At 43.7% G+C, this 21,200-nt stretch overlaps 2 protein-coding genes across 19 annotated transcripts in view; both read right to left on the bottom strand.

The window, feature by feature from the left end:
• Window positions 1-21,200, bottom strand: part of SGSM3 (small G protein signaling modulator 3) — a 39,696-nt gene that overhangs the window by 13,306 nt on the left and 5,190 nt on the right. The gene's annotated exons all lie outside the window — the stretch shown is intronic.
• ADSL (adenylosuccinate lyase) overlaps window positions 9,457-21,200 on the bottom strand; it is a 41,028-nt gene continuing 29,284 nt past the window's right edge. The window contains exon 14 of the mRNA NM_001363840.3: window positions 9,457-9,765. Within this exon, the coding sequence (NP_001350769.1) occupies window positions 9,754-9,765 (12 nt within the window). The 3' untranslated portion in view covers window positions 9,457-9,753. The remainder of the gene's footprint in view (window positions 9,766-21,200) is intronic.

Here is a 21,200-nt window from a genome sequence, read left to right as displayed (position 1 = left end):
GATTTAGGAACCTTTGAGGAGCTCTAGAAAGAATTTTTCAAAATTAAATGTACATACTCCCTAGTTTGCTAATCTTACAATTTCCTATAAGGCAAATTTTGTTTAAAAAGCACAGAAGGTCAGATCTTACTATACACCCTGTTTTCCCCCATCTATGGGGAGGGGCAGAAAAGGTTCTGTCCATTTCCTGTGGTCTCTTCATATAGATCAGAGGGATATGGCCCCCCATTCACTCTGGTCCTCCTGTCCTGTCCTGTGTCCTATTTTCTTAACAACACAGCATAGTTGCTACTACTACAGAGATGGTTTTCTACAGACATTTACCATGGAACATGAAAGCTGTAAGCAACATAAGCAAAAATACTTCTTTTTTTTTTTTTTTTTTTTTTTTGAGACAGAGTCTCACTCTGTCGCCCAGGCTGGAGTGCAGTGGCGCAATCTCAGCTCACTGCAACCTCCACCTCCCAGGTTCAAGCGATTCTCCTGCCTCAGCCTCCCAGGTAGCTGGGATCACAGGCATGTGCCACCACGCCTGGCTAATTTTTTGTATTTTTAGTAGAGTTGGGGTTTCGCCGTGTTGGCCAGGCTGGTCTCAAACTTCTGACCTCAAGTGAGCCACCCGCCTCGGCCTCCCAAAGTGCTGGGATTACAGGTGTGAGCCACCGCACCCGGCCTGAGCAAAAATACTTCTAAGAGGCCTCTCAGATGCTGAAGACTGCATTTCCTCTGTGAGGAGGGGAAGAGGACACTTGAAGCTATCGATAAAAACTCACCTAGATAGAGAAGCACAAAGCCGGGAAAGTCCAAGAAAGGCTGGAGTAAAAAAAGATTAATGTGGCTTCTATAGATGCTAAAAAGGGGTAAAATCAGACAATAAATGCTCAAAGAAACATGAACATTTTTTAGAAAAGGAAAAAATATATGAATACCTTTTTCAAGGTAAGGGTACCAAATACTGGTTTTCTTCCTGGTTTTTCTCCTTGGCGCCTATTCTTCAGCACACCTCTAAAATGTACGTGGCTCCAATCTGGCTGCTACGTGGGCAAATAGCTTGTAGAGAGACAAGAGTGGATGCTTGCAGGCAAGTGTGGCGTGCAGAGGAAAGATTACGGAGAATGAGGCTGAAGTGACAGTGGAGAAAAAGAGAAGCAACAGATTCAAGACACAATCAGAGGTAGAATCAACAGGCCTTGCCGCAGAGTTGGATGTGGGGAATGAGAATGGGAGTGGCCACAGGCAAGGCCTAGGTTTCCAGTCTGTACTCCTGGGCTTATGATGATGCCATTTCCTAATATGAGAGAAATGGGAACAAAACAGGTTTGGGGAGGGGGGAAGTTAAGAAGTTAAGAGTTACGGGGCAGGGGCTGGGCACAGTGGCTCATACCTGTAATCCCAGCAGTTTGGGAGCCCGAGATGGGCAGATCACCTGAGGTCAGGAGTTCGAGACCAACCTGGCCAACATGGTGAAACCCCGTCTCCACTAAAATTACAAAAATTAGCTGGGCGTGGTGGCAGGCACCTATAATCCCAGCTACTTGGGAGGCTGAAGCAGGAGAATTGGTTCAGCCTGGGAGGTGGAGGTTGCGGTGAGCTGAGATCGTGCCACTGCACTCCAGCCTGGGCGACAGAGTGAGATCCTGTCTAAAAAAAAAAAAAAAGAGTTATGGGGTAATTTAAATGCTTATTTAGAAATCCAAGTGGAGCTGTTAAGTAGGTGATTACATCTATAAATCTATGTTTATGGGGAGATGTCAGAGGTAGAAACGTCAATTTGGGAGTTTTTCATTCATCTATCCAACCAACAAAAAAAATTTTTTGCAACTACTATATCCCAAACACTGTTCCATGTGTTAGAGATATAGCAGTAAAACAAGATGGACAAAGTTCTTGCTTTCATGAACCTGCAATTTCTTCTGTAAAATGGAAATAATACCTATACTACTTATGAGGTTAAGTGAGAAAATGTAGTACTTGTAACAATATTCAGCACGTGGCATGTGCTTAATAAATGCCAGTTATTATTAGTTACAGAAAACAGACAATAAATATGTAAATAATTTCAGAATAATAATACATGCCATGAAGAAAACAGAACAATAGGTTACAAAGTGGCAGGTAGGAGTGGAGGGGTTATTTTTAATTGGTGGTTGGGGAAGGCCTCTCTCAGGAAATGACTTTTCAGCTCACATGAGAATAACGATCAGGTCTGTGAAGATCTAGAAGAGTAGTGATGAGGGGGAAAGTAGCAGATAACGTTGGAAAAGGAGGCAGGAACTAGCTGACAGATGGCCCTTCTAGCCATGGCAAAAACTGGAATTTTTTTTTTTTTTTTTTTTTTGAGACAGGAGTCTTACTCTGTCACCCAGGCTAGAGTGCAGTGGCACAATCTCACTCACTGCAACCTCCACCTCCCGGGTTCAAGCGATTTTCCTGCCTCAGCCTCCCAAGTAGCTGGGATTACAGGTGCCCACCACCGCACCCGGCTAATTTTTGTATTTTTAGTAGAGATGGGGTTTCACTATGTTGGCCAGGCTGGTCTCGAACTCCTGACCTCGTGATCCACCCGCCTCAGCCTCCCAAAGGGCTGGGATTATAGGCGTGAGCCATCATGCCTGGCCAGTCTCCAAGTTCTTGGACCTGAGCAACTGTGCAGGTCCCATCAACTAAGACAAGGGAAGCCTGCTGAAAGAGCAGATTTTGGGGTTAGAAATCAAGAGTTCTGCTTTGGCCATGTTACACTGGGAGGCCGATCAGACTCCTAAGTGGAGATGTCAAGTTTGCACCTTACAAGCACGGAGTTCACAGATGTCAGAACTAGAAATGTAAACGTTGGAAACATCAGCATAGCGCAGAACTAGATGTCATTGCCAAGGAGGGAATGCAGAGCAGGGAGCCTAGGACCAAATCCTAAAACACTCCAACATTTAGAAGTTAGGCAGAAAAGGAGGCAGGAAACAAAATTTGGGAACTGGCCAATGAAACAGAAGGAAAACGAATAGTGTGTTGTGTTGTGGAAACCAACAGAAGTGAGTATTTCTAGAAAGAGTGCTTTGGTTTTAATGTGTCCCCTCCAAAATTCAGGTGTTGCCAATGTGATAGTATTAAGAGCTGGAACCTTTAAGAGATGATGAGGCCATGAAGCCTCCTCCCACATCAATGGGATTAGGTCCCCTCCTAAAGGGGCTTGACGGAAGGAGTTGGCTCTCTTGCCCTTCTGCCATATTAGGATGCAGCAAGAAGGCCCTCAACAAACGCTTGGACTTCCGAGCCTCCCAAACTGTGAGAAATAAACTTCTGTTCTTTAAAAATGACCCAGCATATTCTGTTACAGCAGCACAAAACAAACTAAGACAAGGAGTGGGTGATCATCCGTGTCACTCAATGTGAGGACAGAGAACTGGTCCTTGGCTTAGCAAGCTGAAGGTTGTTTGTGATCCTGAAAAGAGCTTTTAATTTTAATGGTCAAGGTGAAGGTCCAACTGGAGTGGGTTGAAGAAGGAACAGAAGAAAAGTGGAATCATCAGCATGAAGACAGTATATGACTTCAACCATTTAAAAATGTATAGGCCTGGCACAGTGGCTCACGCCTATAATCCCAGCTCTTTGGGTGACCCAAGGCAGGCGGATCACCTGAGGTCAGGAGTTTGCGACCAGCCTGGCCAACGTGGTGAAACCCCATCTCTACTAAAAATACAAAAATTAGCTGGGCGTGGTGGCACGCGCCTCTTAGTCCCAGCTATTTGGGAGGCCGAGGCGGGAGAATTGCTTGAATCTGGGAGGCGGAGGTTGCAGTGAGCCACGATCGCGCCACTGCACTCCAGCCTGGCAACAAAGTGAGACTCTGTCTCAAAAAAGAAAAAAGTAAAATAGTCAAAAGGTGAGAAGAATCCAAAGTCCATCAATTGATGGATAAACAAAATGTAGCTTACGCAGACAATGAACTATATTATTCATCCATAAAAGGAATGAAATACTGATATGTGCTACAACATGAATGAACCTTGAAAATATTATGCTCAGTGAAAGAAGCCAGTCACAAGGGGCTGCATACTGTATGATTCCATTTATATGAAATGTCCAACATAGGCAAATCCATAAAGACTGAAAGTAGATGAATGGTTGCCAGGGGCTGAGGGAAGGGCAGATAGGAAATGACTGCTAATGAGTAACGGAGTTTTCTTTTGGGCTAATGTAGATGTTCTGGAATTAGATACTGATGATGGTTGCACAACATAGTGAATGTACGAAAAACTGGTAAATTATACACTTTAAAAGGGTAAATTTTATGGTATATGAATTATATCTCAATTTTAAAAATAATTACAGTTTAAGTATTAGAACATTAGAGTAAGAAGGTTGACTTTTTTCTGAGGACCACCAGTGAAGCTGAGTACTGAGAACAGTGAATTAGCTTCTCCCCATCTTGCCTTTCTCTTCCCCTGCAGAGCTGCTACTACTCACCACCTTAAATATCCACCTCTGCTGAGATTTAATGCTTATACAAAACCAAGGAAAGAAAAGAAAGTATAAACAATTAGAAATAGCTTATCCATAACTGTGAAAAGGATCCCCTTCTCTCTCATTTGTAACTAACAATTTCCTAACACAGCTCTGCATGAGTTTGACATCTTAGCAACCTGTGAAGTCAGGAACTTCCTAAGCTGCTGAAAAAAAAAAAAAGCCTGTAATTTTTCAAGTTCCTCTAACAAGCCCCCTTCCCCTGCCATAGTCTAAGTAATTACTGGAATAATCACTGGAAAAAAAAAAACTGACAATACTTTGAAACTCAGGTTTCCAACCCACTGGTTTTGGTTGATTGTTTTTAAGGCGAAATAAAATCCCCAGGTGTCCCTCTTCACATGGGTTGCAGTTGCTCCCTATTATAATGAAGTATTAATAAAATACTTTTCCAAAAGCAAAAGCCACTAAAAGCAGTTTAAAGGAAAAGAGATACTTACAAACAAGGAAAAGTGCAGCAATTTGCAAAACAGGCTCTAAGGGGGAAAAAAGCTATTTACGAATCTGCTTTTACAGATATACCCCCACGTCTCCTGAGTTTTCGCCACAGCCCAGGCATTTGGTTCCCAGGCCCAGCCAGAGCTGGGTTTGGGTGAGACACTGGCTGTCAGAGCCCAAGGCTCAGAAGCACTTCTGGGCACTCTGCACAAATGCTCACAGGACCATTCTTTTCTACTGAGAATACAGTAAGATGCAAACAAAATGACAAACTTAAGTTCTAGCAGGATAAATTTCAGGGCAAAGGAAATCTCTGGATTATAAACATAGTCAATAGGCTAATCATGGCAAAGGAAGCTCTGGACTCTTCTTTTGAGTCTTGTAATTACACGAACACAACTTTTTGTGGTGTGTTTTGAGATAGGGTTTCACTCTGTTGCCCAGGCTGGAGTGCAGAGGAATGATCAGAGCTCACTGCAGCCTTGAACTCCCAGGCTCAAGCAATCCTCCCATCTCAGCCTCCTGAGTAGCTGGGACTACAGGTGTGCACCACCACACCAGGCTAATTTTCTTTTATTTTTTTGTAGAGACCGGGTCTCACTATGTTGCCTAGGCTGGTCTCAAACTCCTGGGCTCAAGGCATCCTCCTGCCTTAGCCTCCCAAAGTGCTGGGATTATAGACGTGAGTCAACACACCCAGTTGATCAGTGGTTCTCAAAATACAGAGTGTATCAGAATCACCTGGAGGGCTTCCTAAAACCCAGACAGCTGAGGCCCAGCCCCCGAATTTCTGACTCAGCAGGTGTGAGTAGGACCTGAGACTCTGCCTCTCCCAGGTGATGCGGATGCTTTTGGTCCAGGGAACACACTTTGAGAACCACTGACCTGAATTCCTCTTTGACCATTATTCTTTCAAATTCTAGCTCAGATGTGGCCTCCTCTAACAAGCCTTTCTTTCCAACTTCCATGTCCCCTACCTCCTTCCCCAACAGAATTAATCATTGTACATGCTGCTGTTGATTTCATGTGATACTATAATTTATGTACATGTGTATCTGTCCTATGTCCGGTACCTAGCCCAGTGCCTGACATGTGGCAGGGGCTGACTGTTTGATGAATAAGCACAGCAAACTCTTAGAAGGTCCCGATGTACAACACGCTCTTTTCCTGTGCCTTGGCTCTCTACTGCTCCCCCTGCTCATAATGCCCTCCTCTTTACCTGACTTATTCTTCAAGGCACAGCTGAAGCATTGCCTCCTCTAAGAAGCCTTATTTGATACTCTCTCTGCCTTTAGTTTGTGTTAGGTGCCCCTATTCCTCTGGGCCCCCAACAAACCCATCTATACATATCTTACTAATAGCTACCATTCATTGCATGCTAAGTGCCAGGGACTCAAATAAACAGAACTGAATTAAATCCTTCAGAGGTTCTTTGGCCCAGCAATTCCCGCTTCTGGAAATTTATCCTACATGCCAGCAAAATGACCTATATACAACGTAACTCCCTATAGCACTGGTTTTGAGAACAAAATACCAGATGGCAAAATATTAGGAAACCTCAATACCCACTGATACAGGACTGTTTAATTACAGTATATCTATAGAATAAAATGGTGTGCAGCTGTCACTGACAGGGGCTAAGTAAAAAAAGGAGAGTGAGAAGAATGTGAAAATACTTGTTAAAAAGGGGAGAAATTTTCATATAAAATAAAGGCTACATGTTGGGGGAACTAGGTGGCAGGGAGACTTTTACTTCATACTCGTTCTGTACCTTTTTCATTTTGAACCGTGTTACCACCTATGCAAACAAAAACATGAAAACAATTTTAAAGACCTTTAGAGAATCACAGAGCAAGAGACATTAGGGTGCCCCACATTTAATTCAACATAAAAATGAAATGAGTATGAGGAACTTCTACAAAGTTTAGATTTTTTTCCCTAGATGACTTGTTCCGTATCTGTGAAATGGCCAATGAGTTCTGTTTTCTCTTTATTTCACATATCTGCTTTATTAGTGTCCTCAGTGTGTGCTGGGTCTAAAGAGTCAATCTAGCACAGATGAAGTTCATTAAATCTAATGACTACACTGCAGTTCTTTTTTTTTTTTTTTTCTTTTTTTTTTTGAGACGGAGTTTCCCTCTTGTTGCCCAGGCTGGAGTGCAATGGCGCGATCCTGGCTCACTGCAACTTCCGCCTCCCAGGTTCAGGCAATTCTCCTGCCTCAGCCTCCCGAGTAGCTGGAATTACAGGCATGCAGCACCACATCCAGCTAATTTTGTATTTTTAGTAGAGACGGGGTTTCTCCATGTTGAGGCTGGTCTCGAACTCCTGACCTCAGGTGATCCGCCCACCTCGGCCTCCCAAAGTGCTGGGATTACAGGCGTGAGCCACCGCGCCCGGCCCTTTTTTTTTTTTTTTTTTTTTTTTCTGAGACGGAGTCTTGCACTGTGGCCCAGGCTGGAGTGCAGTGGCCCGATCTCAGCTCACTGCAAGCCCCGCCTCCCAGGTTCACGCCATTCTCCTGCCTCAGCCTCCGGAGTAGCTGGGACTACAGGCGCCCGCCACCACGCCCGGCTAATTTTTTGTATTTTTAGTAGAGACGGGGTTTCACCGTGTTAGCCGGGATGGTCGGGATCTCCTGACCTCGTGATCCGCCCGCCTCGGCCTCCCAAAGCGCTGGGATTACAGGCGTGAGCCACCGCGCCCGGCCTGCACTGCAGTTCTTACCACACCTGACCACTCAGTAGCATTTAGCTGTGTAATCACTTCCCCTCCTTAACACACAGTCTCTCTGGGTGTCTATGTGTCATGATCCTTTGGTTTTCCTCCTGGCTTTCTGGCTCCTTCTTAGTCTCCTTTTCCAGTTCCTCCTCCTATATGCCTGTTCTTCAGATGCCTTAATGTTGCGCCTTCGACTCTCCTCTAGCTCTCTGCACTCTCCTGGAACTCCTGGATGACTCTCACAACTTCAATTAACATCTACAAGCAGATAACTGATTTCTAGCTCCAAGATGCATTTCTCTCTCAACCTCAGACCAGCACATCCAGCTGGTGGGCAGCTCCTCCATATTCTTCGAATTTGCCACGCTCCAAGTTAACTCATCACCTTTCCTCATGAACCTGGTCCTCCCCTTCAGTGGTCCCGTTGCCATTACGACCTACCTACCCACTCTCTCCAGGCAGGACTTGGGGATGATGTTTAATGGATTCTTCACCTTTCCATCTTCACCCCTCAACTATTCGGCCTTTCCTAAAGTTTTTGAAACCTCCCCTTTCTCTTACAACCTGTTGCTACTTTCTAGTTGAGGCTGCCGTCGCTTTTCACCATCATGATTATTATACATCTCTCAACTGGAATCTCTGCCTCCACTCTCGGCCCCTCCCTCCAACCACTCTCTACCCTGCAGCCACAGAAATTCTTTCAAAATACAACTGATCATTTCCCTCCCATCTTTAAAACCTTCCCTTTGCTTTAAAGTCCAAATTTGTTAACTTGATTTATAAGACCCTGCATGACCTAGCAGCCCCTGCTACTCCCTGCAGCCTCATCTCTGAACACCTGCCTCGCACTTGCCTCCAATGCACTTTATGCTTTGGCAACGTTATCTTGGAACCCACCTGTGTTCTCTCAGAATGCTGCTAAATACAGCAATTACTCAGCAATATGTAAAGACAGCCTTGAAACCTGGACCCTACCAAACTCCACGATGAAGGAGCTAGTGGCACAGAACTTCTAGAACTGACTCCCCCTCCGGTTACCCTAGTAATTTTTGTTGATCATTTATATCACCCTTTATGACAAGGACATCTGAGGTGAACATCCATAGTATCATACAAATTTCTCAGCTGCCTCCTCCAAAACTGGCATCAGCAGAAGAGCAAAGTAAGTCTAAGAATCACACTCTACCTTGAACTCCACTCCTGCTACAAGGTTTGCAGCTGGGTCTGCTTACCCTTCCCTGAGTCAATATTTTCTTTGTGACAGAGATAGAGTGTTCCTTTAGGCGAGACTGAGGTGTGACTGTGTAAGGGAGAACACAGACTGGAAACATATATCAGGGAAACAGGAACCTCACCCTAGAATTCAGCACACAAGGTATGCGTGTCCCCTTCCTGCACAGGAGTACCAGTTAAACTCAGCTGCCCTACGCGGACTTGCTCACACTCATAACTGTGCCAGGCTCCTCTAGTTCCTCATATCAAATAATCAATCATCCACAGTAATCTGGTTACTTACCTGAGTCCCTCCCTCGATCATTCCTCTAATATTTATGGCCTGGCAGTTTCCGGAAAGGATAAGGAAAGCAACTTCATGGACCTTCTGTCATTCCCACTACCAGGGGTGGGGGATAACCACCTCCCCCAGAAGTAGAAGTGAAATAAATACTAGTTAGCTAACTGCAACTCAGCTTTCAGGTAGCTCTGAAAAATAGCAGACAAGAGTTTTTGAGGAAAATAAAGCTCCTTAAGGGCTGACTGGCAAAGAAGGCCACTGAGACATTTATATTGAAAGTTTTATATTAACATAGGAGATTAGGGCACCTAAGAGGAGATCATAAATATAGTTTACACAGTTGCTATTTTTCATATAATTAAACTACACAGGTCAACAAACTATCTCATCTTTACATCATTTATTTGCCATTACCATCTATATAATTACCGGAAATGTTTCATTTGCAGATATGAACATACCTACATAACATTACCCTAAAGAATGGTAATTATACTACACTATATACAGTATTATAGAGTATATATGCTATTATACTCTGTGGCAGTGAGTAGACGGAGGTATCAGAAGGAAACCTATGAAAGAAGGAAAAATAATATGTGTTAAGCATTCATCACACTGCTAAGCACACTCACAGGCATTATCCCCATTTTACACCTCAGCAAAGGACTGACCCCTCAGCAGTCTCACTATACCATACTGACTAGCACAACTCTAGTTATCAACTTTGCAGACAGTTTCCAGAAAAGATCATGGAACTATCTGTGCATGTGCGGGAACAAAATATCTTGACTTGGGATGACATATCTAGTGGGAGCCAGCCAGATTTAAGACACAAAGCAACTAAAAAAAATTTTTTGTGTGTGAAAATTCAAAATTAAACAGATAAATTAGGAGAGAATTCTCATAAGAGCAAACCAACTTCTCTAACAGATCTGCACCTATATTTAGAGACCATTAACTTCTTTAGTACTGGGGTGCAGGGCAAAGGGACTCACACAAAGTCATGAATTATAGAGTTAGAAGGATCCTTTGGGTTCATCTCTCATACTTTTTGAAAAAAGAAACTAGGGGCCAGGCACACTGGCTCACATATGTAACCCGAACACTTTGGGAGATTGAGACAAGAGGACTGCTTGAGGCCAGGAGTTCAAGACCAGCCTGGGCAACATAGCGAGACCTGATCTCTAGTTGTCTTTTTATTAAAAAAAAAAAAAAAAAAAAAAAAAAAGTAAGAAAATTGGACTAGAGGTCAAAAGACTGATTTAAAGCAGCATAGCCAGACCAGAAGTCTCTGATTTCTACTACTTTAATCTGAAACTGAATCAAAAACTTGGAAACAGCTAGAGACAGGCCCATTGGATTACATTCAGATCAGCATCATTACCAACAGAAATCCCAGAAGATACGTCACGAGGTTGTCCTCTTACTGTTGTGAACCTTAGGGTTAAGCAGTCCATATCTTTATATTATTTCACACTTAATAATGCTGATTTCAACAATCAGGTCCATACACTTCACTCCCATGTTGTAAAAGTTAGACAACCATCTGAACTAACCATGAATTAATGACAACTTTTTGCCTCATCTAGCCCCATTTAAGTTCCTCTTGGCTGGGAGAGGTGGTGGCTCACATTTGTGATCCCAGCACTCTGGGAGGCCAAGGCAGATGGATTGCTTGAGTGCAGGAGTTCAAGACCAGCCTGGGCAACATGGCAAAACCCTGTCTCTACTAAAAATAGAAAAACAAAAAAAACAAAAAAAAAAACAAAAAATTAGCCGGGCATGGTGGCGTGCGCCTGTAGTCCCAGCTACCTGGGAAGTTGAGATAGGAGAATCGCCTGGGCCCGGGAGGTCGACGCTGCAGTGGGCTGAGGTTGCACCACTGCACTCCAGCCTGGGCAACCAGAGTGAGACCCGGTCTTCAAGAAAAAAAAAAGTTGTTCCTCTGCTCTTTCTGCTCATGTTCCTCCTGGACAAAGTTAGGGAACAAGCCACATGCTATTTATCTTCACGGTTGCTCAGCAACCTTCATTCATCTCTAGTTGACTTTTCATCATATTTCCTTCAGCGATACTTTCAAATCATTCTCATAATTCTTCTGAAACCCAACTACTCTCTGCTGCCACTCACCCCCAGCTGAGGGACTGTACTCCAGCTTTAACGAAGCTCAGCTTATTAGACTTAAGCTTCCTCAACTTCCTTATTCTCCGTGTCAAAACGGCTTTTCACCTGTTTGCTCTTTCTGCCCGCCCTCTCAGAAGAGAAAGTGGTTTTCTTCCTTCCTACGTTAAATTCTCCACCCACGAGAACCTTTCAACCCATTTCCTTTATACTCTTTTCCTTTGTGCATCTTCAGTCTTTTCTTCTCCAATGGCTTCGTGTCCACTGCAAATACTTAGATCTCCTGAACCCTGAATTAAACAAAACAAAACAAAGCAACTATCCCTGTACCCACTCAAGCTGTTACCTTTCTAGCTCTTATCCCTCTGCCTCACTGCCATACTTTTTAAAAGCGCCCATGCTTCATCAATCAACTCACTCCTTAAGCTTTTCACCCTAGCTTCTGTCACCACCTAAACTGGTTTCTAAGGTCTCCAGTGATTTCCTAGTCATTATTTGGAATCCAGTTCCTATGGCTTCATTTCCTGAAACTCCCTGAAGCATCAGACTCTGCTGACTTACTTTGGTTTCTTGAACTGTTCAATGACTCTGAGGGCACAGACCATATTGTTTTTTCTTCTCTATTTAACTGCTTCTTTACTGCCTCTTCTTTCTCCAGACCCCCAAAAAAGACATTCCCCACATCAGTCTTCTTTCTTTTAGTCCATTCCTAATGGATTCCAAATGGGGAGTCCATCCCTATTCTGAATGGGGATTTAGCTATTACTGTCATATAAATTACAAATCTCTATCTCTAGCCATGACAACATAGATTATTTCCAACTTATTGTTGGATAGCTTCATTTGACTATATACCACAACACATTAAAATATGTATTTCTTTTTTTTTGAGGTGGAGTCTTGCTCTGTCGCCCAGGCTGGAGTGCAATGGCGCTATCTCAGCTTACTGCAAACTCCGCCTCCCAGATCCATGCCCATTCTCCCGCCTTAGCCTCCTGAGTAGCTGGGACTACAGGCGCCCGCCACCATGCCCAGCTAATTTTTTGTATTTTTAGTAGAGACAGGGTTTCACCGTGTTAGCCAGGATGGTCTCGATCTCCTGACCTCGTGATCCGCCCACCTTGGCCTTCCAAAGTGCTGGGATTACAGGCGTGAGCCACCGCACCTGGCCAATATGTATTTCTTTTTAATTTTTTTTTAATTTTTGTTTATTTATTGGAGATGGGGGTCTCCCTATGTTATCCAGACTGGAATACAGCTGCACACCACTGTGCCTGGCTTAAAATCTGTGTTTCCTGAATAAATCTATTTTTATTCTATCTCAGATGATTCTTTTTAATATTCCTGTTTCTTCTCCCAAGACATTCAGATCCTAAGGTTTAGGGTAATTTTTGGCTCCTTTTTTTTTGTCGTTGTTGTTGTTGTTAGAGACAGGGTTTTGTTCTGTTGCCCAAATTGAGTGCAGTGGTGGGATCATGACTCACTGCAGCCTTGACTTCCCAGGCTCAAGCAATCATCTCTCCTCAGCCTCCTGAGTAGCTAGGACTACGGGCGCATGCCATCATGACTTGCTAATTTTTATTTTTAGAGACAAGGTCCTACTATCTTGCCCAGGAAGGTCTTGAACTCCTGCACTCAAGCAATCCTCCCACTTTGGCCTCCCAAAGTGTTAGGATTACAGGCATGAGCCATGATGCCTGGCCTTGGCTCCTGCTTTTACTCTCATATCAAATCAGTTGCAAGTCTACTGATTTTACCTCTAAAATACCTCTAGCATCTCCATCTCCATTTCCACTGCCTTAATCCAGACCCTCCCTGCCACTTTTCTGGGCCACTGTCAAAATCTCCTAAAGATTTCTGTGTCTCCAGATTATCATTCCGTTTATGTTAAACAAAGAGTAGGTTAATATCCCCTGAAGCACAGCTCTGATTCCATAGACCCCAATCTCTTTTTGAGTCAGCTCTTATTTTCCCTTCATGTACCCTAAGCTTTAGCCAACTGGGCCCCTCACTACTGTCTCAACATGCCTCTGTGCCTTTATTTATATTGTGTCCTCTGCTAAGAAGGCCACCTTCCATTTCCAAATATCCAGATTCCATCCCTCTTTCAGTGCTTAGCTCTGAAACACCACTTCTGTGAAGCTTTCCTTAGTACTTCCTCTCAACATTTACTTGTTCCTACTGACTTTTTTTTTTTTTTTTTGAGACAGAGTCTCGCTCTGTCGCCAAGGGTGGAGTGCAGTGGCGTGATCTCGGCTCACTGCGAGCTCCACCTCCCAGGTTCACGCCATTCTCCTGCCTTAGCCTCCCGAGTAGCTGGGAATACAGGCACCTGCCACCACGCCGGGCTAATTTTTTATATTTTTAGTAGAGATGGGGTTTCACCGTGTTGGCCAGGATGGTCTTGATCTCCTGACCTCGTGATCTGCCCGCCTCGGCCTCCCAAAGTGCTGGGATTACAGGTGTGAGCCACTGCACCCGGCCGTTCCTACTGACTTCTATCTCACTTTACTAGTGTAGGTGCCTTATCTATAAACTGAAAGCTCTTCAAGGGCTGAATCCTCATTAGCACCTACTACAGTACTTAGGGATTTAATAAATGTTTGAAGTAGTAATCGCCTGTTTCATGAGATATTTAATTACCTGTTTTATGACCTACACAAATAAACCTTCCATAGTATTTCAGGACTTTCTGAAGAAATCTACCTTCACCTTTATACAGTGTTACTGTGGAAGCAAGAAGGCCTGGGCCTGACAACTTGTTCTGCCACTTGGCTGTGTGGCCAATTCATCTTCCCTAACCTCAGCTTCCCTATCAGTAAAATTAGGATAATAGGTACCTGCAGAATAAGTGAAAAAGTTCTTAAAACCCCTATCACATGCTTGGCATGGAGATCCTATTTTCCAAAAATGGGCTAACACAATATAACGTATCTCACACATGCTCTTCTTCAAATGTGACGAAACTTCTCCCATTGAATGGTGGGGTCTACGTCCCATCCACTCCCCGTGAACCCAGGCAAACCTCTGTGACTCCCTTAACCAAGAGAATATGGTGATATTGTGTAGCTTCTGAGGTTATGTCATAAAAATGTCATGCATTTTCACCTTGTTCCCTTGGGAGGTTAGCTCTTAGAACACACCTGCCATGCTGTGAGGTAGGTAAGGTAACATGGAGAGGTCACATATAGGTGCTCCGGCCAACAGTCCCAGGTGGGACCCAGCTGACAGCCACCATCAACCCCAAGACATCTAAGGAAACTTTAGACATGACTCCAGTCCCACCTAGCTGCAACTGCTTGAGATACCCCAGGAAAAACTACCTACCAACAACCAATCCCCCAGCAAGAGATAGTAATAAAATGATTATTGTTGCTTTAAGCTGCTAAATTCTGGAGTGATCAGTAAACAGCAATAGATAAATGGAAGAACTGGTGCTATGTTGTAGCTGTTAACATAATGCCATTTTAAATTTCAGTCTCCTCTCAACTCTTACTTTTTCAGATTGATGAGTCCTAAACTTATCCTGACCTCACATGGCAGGCACCACTCTTATTCTCTCATTTCACATCATGAGTGCTTACTCTGTGTCACACCCTAGGCTAGATCCTAGACAGGACAGTGAACAAAACAAAATCCTGTCTCTGTGGAGCTTTTATTCTGATCTGATAGAAAGACAAATCTGTAATATAAAATAAGAATTATTATTTGAGACAGCGTCTGACTTTGTCTGCCAGGCTGGAGTGCAGTGGCGCGAATCTTGGCTCACTGCAACTTCTGCCTCCTGGGCTCAAACCATCCTTCCACCCCAGCCTCCTGAGTAGCTGGGACTAAGGCATATACCACCATGCCTGGCTAGTTTTTTGTATATATTTTTGGTAAAGACAGGGTTTTGCCATGTTGCTCAGGCCAGTCTTGAACTCTTGGCCTCAAGGAATCCTCCCACCTTGGCCTCCCAAAGTGCTGGTATTACTGGTGTGAACCACTACGCCCGGCCCCAAGAATTATTAACTTACAACAAATTGCACAATAGTTTACATACATGTTGGGGAGTAATAAAGGGCTCTCATGCTTATTTATCATTTGTTCTTTTCCAGAAACTAAAGGACTCCAGTTATTTAGCTTCTAGATTTACCTTTTAAATTTGGAGTAATAATATAATACTTCAGTTTGTATTTCCAGTTCCTAAATGCACTATCTTGCATCGTTAAAATGCCTTGTAGCCGGGCATGGTGGCTCATTCCTCTTATCCCAGCACTTTGGAAGGCCAAGGCAGAAGGATCACTTGAGCCCAAGAGTTTGAGACCAGCCTCGGCAACATAGTGAGGCTTCATCACTACAAAAAATTTAAAAAATTAGCTGAGTGTGGTGGTGCACACCTGTAGTCCCAGCTACTTGGGAGGCTCAGGTGGGAGGACTGCCTGAGCCCTGGAGGTGGAGGTTGCAATGAGCCAAAATCATACCACTTCACTCCAACCTGGGCAACAGAATGAGGCCCTGTCTCAAAAAAAAGAAAAAGAAAAAAAAAGAAAAGCGTGTACCTCTTTTCTGATGGCTTATATAGACTAGTAAAATGTTTCTATAACCTTTCCTAATTACTTCGTTCTTCCCAATATCATGCTAAACCATTATCATGCTAAAACATTGCTTATATTATGTGAATCAATGGGGGAAAATACAATTTACAAAAATAGAAGCTGCAGCAACTTGTATTTTTAATTTATTAATTTATTTTTGAGCAGGGTCTTGCTCTGTTGTCCAGGCTGGAGGGAAGTGGTGTGATCACAGCTCACTGCAGCCTCGACCTCCCAGGCTCAAGCAATCCTCCCACCTCAGCCTCCCAAGGAGTTAGGACTACAGGCACACACCACCACGCCCTGCTAATTTTTTGTTACTGTTGTAGAGAGGGTCTTACTATGTTGCCCAGGCTGGTCTTAAATTCCTGGGCTCAATCAGTCATCCTACCTTGGCCTCCCAAAGTGCTGGGATTACAGGTGTGAGCCAGGCCTGTTTTTATGATTATAAAGTTATAGGCTGGGCACAGTGACTCACGCCTGTAATGATCACTTGAGGTCAGGAGTTCGAGACCAGCCTGGCCAACATGGTGAAAACCCATCTCTATTAGAAATACAAGAATTAGCCAGGTGTCATGGGGCATGCCTCTAATCCCAACTACTCGGGATGCTGAGGTGGGAGAATTGCTTGAACCCGGGAGGCGGAGGTTACAGTGAGCTGAGATAGTGCCACTGCACTCCAGCCTGGGTGACAGAGTGAGACCCTGTCTCAGGAAAAAAAAAAAAAAAAATTATAGATATTCATGGTTAAAAAAAGCTAGAAAATGTACAATTAATAGATGAATAAAGAAATAAATGCCAGAATGTTTACTGATTATTCCTGGGTGGTGCAGATAAGTGTAATTACTTAATCACACACACATACAAATACACACACAGCATTAAAAAAATGTTAATAGTCATACAAGAACATTTCCAGCACTGTATAAAGTTCTCTTGGACAGCACTTCACTACTTTATACTGCCTCTCAGGACTAGGTTCTGTAGTAGGTACATTTAGTCTTTGTCCATGGGATTATAATTTCATTGACCAGACAGACACATAAAATGGCAAACAACCCAAGGCCAGTTAATAAGAGAAACCAGGCCGAGCACGATGGCTCACACCTATAATCCCAGCACTTTAGGAGGCCGAGGAGGGTGGATCACTTGAGCCCAGGAGTTTGAGACCACCCTGGGCAACATGACGAAACCCAATCTCTACAAAAAAATACAAAAATTAGCTGGGCGTGGTGGTGCAAATCTGTAGTCCCAGATTACTCAGGAAGCTGAGGTGGGAGGATTGCTTGGGCCTGGGAGGTGGAGGTTGCAGTGAGTGGAGATTGTGCCACTGCATTCCAGCCTGGGTGACAAAGTGAGACCCTGCCTTAATAATAAGAACAGAGACCACAAATACTACCAAAGTTCAAAGAAATAAAGAGATAACTACAGGTTGATATGGAAAAGCCTTCATGAAGGAGGAAGATATTTACTTAATAACTCACTGAGGGATATGCATATGCTGCAGCAGGCACTGCACGGGCCTGAACTGAGCAAGACTTAGGGAGACCACAGTTTAACAGAGATAAACAATCCAACAGTCAGTCACCCTCCACCCCACATCTTTCATTAACTAGCTGTGTTACACAGGGACTCTGGTCCTTATGAAGAGGTGATCTCAGACTTCTAGTCTTGAAATGCTGTGATCCAAAGAGAAGAGGAAAAGAGAAAGGCACCAGCGAGTAAGGGAAGCAACAGAGAAAAGGTACGAAGTGGACAGCATGAGCTAGATATTCTCCTAGAACACAAAGCAGACCCAATGGTGACTTTGTGTTGAGGAAATACTCATTCAATCAACATATGTTTATTGAGTGCCTATTATGTACCAGGCACTGTTTTAAGTGTCGGGAACACAGAAGTGCTCAAAATAGATAGAAATCCCTTCTTTGAAAGTCCCAGCATTCTAGAGGGGAAAGAAGTAACTTAAAAAATTAATAAGAGACCACACTGTATGTCAGATGAATAGTGCTACAGAGTAAAATGAGGCAGGAAGAACCATAGGCACTTTCAGGAGCTGCTATTCTAAATTAGGTAGTCAGGGAAGGCTCAGTAAGAAAAATCTGAGCAAACACCTGAAGAAGGTGAGGAGCTGATGGAAGCAGAGGTCCGAAACAAAGAGCAGCACATAGGTGGTGAAGCGGGAATATAAGAGACTAGGTTGGAAAAGTGAGGAAAAGCAGGTAAATCTTCTAAAAAGAACTCTAGGTCTCGGAGTCTGCAGATTTAGATTTCAATCAGAGAATCACGATCTCAGAATTGGAGAGAACTTTACAGTTCATTCAGTACAACAACCCATTAGATTATTATTATTGGTTTTGTTCTGTTTTTTTTTGAGACAGAGTCTCGCTCTGTCACCCAGGCTGGAGTGCAGTGTGTGATCTCAGCTCACTGCAACCTCCGCCTCCTGGGTTCCTCTTCTGCCTCAGCTTCCTGGTAGATGGGATTACAGGCATGCGCCACCACACCCGGCTAATTTTTTGTATTTTTGGTAGTAGAGATGGGGTTTCGCCATGTAGGCCAGGTTGGTCTCGAACTCCCACCTTCAAGTGATCTGCCCGCCTTAGCCTCCCAAAGTGCTAGGATGACAGGCATCAGCCACCGTGCCCGGCCATATTATTATTTTTAATATACACAGGGTCTTGCTGTGTCACCCAGGCTGGAATGCAGTGGCACTATTCCAGCTCACTATAACCTCAAACTGTTGGGCTCAATCCTCTCACCCCAGTCTCCCAAGTAGCTAGGACTACAGGCACACACCATCATGCCTGGCTAATTTTTCTTATTTTTTTGTAGAGATGCTGGTCTTGCTATGTTGCCCAGGGTAGTCTCAAACTCTTGGCCTCAAGCGATCATCCTGCCTCAGCCTCCCAAAGCAGTGGAATTACAGGCATGAGCCACCACACCCAGTCCCCATTAGATTACTAAACCCATATTACTCCTCCCAGGTGACCATCTTGTCTTGGCTTGAACAATTTAGTGGATGTATCTATTTCCACATACCAAGACAGTCTGTCACCTGTGGATAGCCCTGCCTTAGGCTTTAACGTGGGCAGAAATCTGTTTGCTAGTAATATCTACTCTTTGGTCTTTTTAGGGGTACTTTGTATTCTACATACTTCAGACATTTGAAGATACCCACATCTTCTCCAAGATTTCTCTCCTCTTCAGGTTAAAGTTAGCTGATTATTTTAACTTTTTTTTTTTTTTTTTTGAGACAGGGTCTTGCTCTGTCACCCAGGCTGGCGTACAGTGGCACGATCACAGCTCACTGCAGCCTTGACCTCCCAAGCTCAAGTAATCTTCCCACCTCAGCCTCCCAAGTAGCTGGGACTACAGGCACATGCCACCATGCCCAGCTATTTATAATTTTTAAAGTTTTTTTTTGTAGAGACAGGTTCCCATTATGTTGCCCAGGCGGGTCTCAAACTCCTTAGCCCAATGGATCCGCCTGCCTTGGCCTCCCAGAGGGCTGGGATTACAGGCGTGAGCCACGACACCAGGCCTATTTTAACTCTTACATGACATGACCTCATGCCATGTAAAAGTTAAAGGTGTCTCAGCTGCAAGCCACCAAAACTGACTTTGGGTAACTTAAGTTATGAAAGACAGGAATGTATTGGAAGGATATGTAGTAGGACATAAAACCAAGGAAAAGCTGAAGACTCAGCTCGTTGAAAACAACAGCAGCTCTAGTGCCCAGATATTAGGAATTAGCCTGTGGTTGTGATGAAGGAGCTGCAACTGTTTATTGAACTTTTGTTACTGTGTCATTCAACCTAAGATTCAAATTAAAGGAGGAAAGCATCTATTTGCCTAACATCTGTTGGCCTGACCTGGGCCATGTGCCTACCACCTAGTTGGTCAGGGATGAACTGTTCTCCAAAGCAAAATTGAGCTGTTATCCCCAGAAGAACCTGGATTGGATGCTGGACAGGCCAAAACAACTTATGTCTACTAAATTTTCTCAAAATGTGATGCTTCAAATTCCACATGATCTAGATATGGAGGAGCAACACCAGGGCACTGTCTGCACACATGCTGCATGACTGGGAAAGTGACCAAATGTGTGCCTGTTTCCTGCCGGACAGTGATGGTCACAAGCATATTTGGTTATTCCTATGACAATCAAAGAAAATGTGTGCAAAATGCTTTGTAAACTCGAAGCTAACTGTAGTACTTAATACCGTAAATGCTTGTCACAGCCATTTTATATAGATTTTATTTAATCTTCAAAACTACTCTATTTCTTGATTATATGCTAAATTAAAAAAAACAAAAAACTATGAAGGTGGAGATTATGAGCATAAACTCTAGAGTCAGACTAAGTTCTAATCCTGACTCCACCAATCTTTAGCAAATTACTGTTTCTGTCACTGTTGTCTCACCTGTAAATGGGCATAATACTAGCAATACATAGGGTTGATGTGAGGATTGTGAGTTAATACAAATAAAATTCTTAGAACTGTGACTGGTATATATAGCAAACACCTAATACATATTAGCTATTACTATGAGTAGCACTAATTATTCCATTTTTGCAGGTGAGAGAAATGAGGCATGACAGATAACTTGTAAGTTCTCGAAGTTTACAATGGTAAAGCCAGGCCGGGTGCAGTGGCATGCACCTGTAATCACAGCAACTCATGAGATTAAAGCAGGAGGACCTCTTGAGCCCAGGAGTTTGAGGTTTCAGTGAGCTATGATCATGCCACTGCACTCCAACCTGGGCAACAGAGCAAAACCCTGTCAATCAATCAAGCAAGCAGACAAGCAAGGAAGCAAGCAGCAGAGCCGTAAGTTGAACTTCATTGTTGGTGCTCCGACTACCGTACTGTTTCCAAAAGACAAAAAAAAAAAAAAAAAAAAAAAAAAAAAAAAGTGGTAATTTGACTTTAACCCTATCCTCAAGTCACATAATTAAGGATATTTACAAACGAAACTCAAACACAAGAGAGGGAAAAGGGAAATGATCTGTTCTTTCATATCTTGTTTTTTTTTTTCCAGTTTTTTGAGACAGGGTCTCCCTTTGTCACCCAGGCTGGAGTGTGTGGTGTGTGGTGTGATCACAGCTCACTACAGCTTCAATCTCCTGAGCTCAAGTGATCCTCTTGCCTCAGCATCCTGAGTAGGTGGGACCACAAGCACACGCCACCATATCTGGTTAATTTTTAGAAATTTTTTTGTAGAGGCAGGGTCTCACCATGTTGCCCAGGCTGGTCTTGACCTCCTGGGCTTCAGTGATCCTTCCACCTCAGCCTCCCAAAGTGCTGGGA

This window comes from Homo sapiens, chromosome 22 (genome assembly GCF_000001405.40).
Source record: "Homo sapiens chromosome 22, GRCh38.p14 Primary Assembly".
NCBI classification, from domain to species: Eukaryota; Metazoa; Chordata; class Mammalia; order Primates; family Hominidae; genus Homo; species Homo sapiens.
This window is presented reverse-complemented; position numbering and strand designations above follow the sequence as displayed.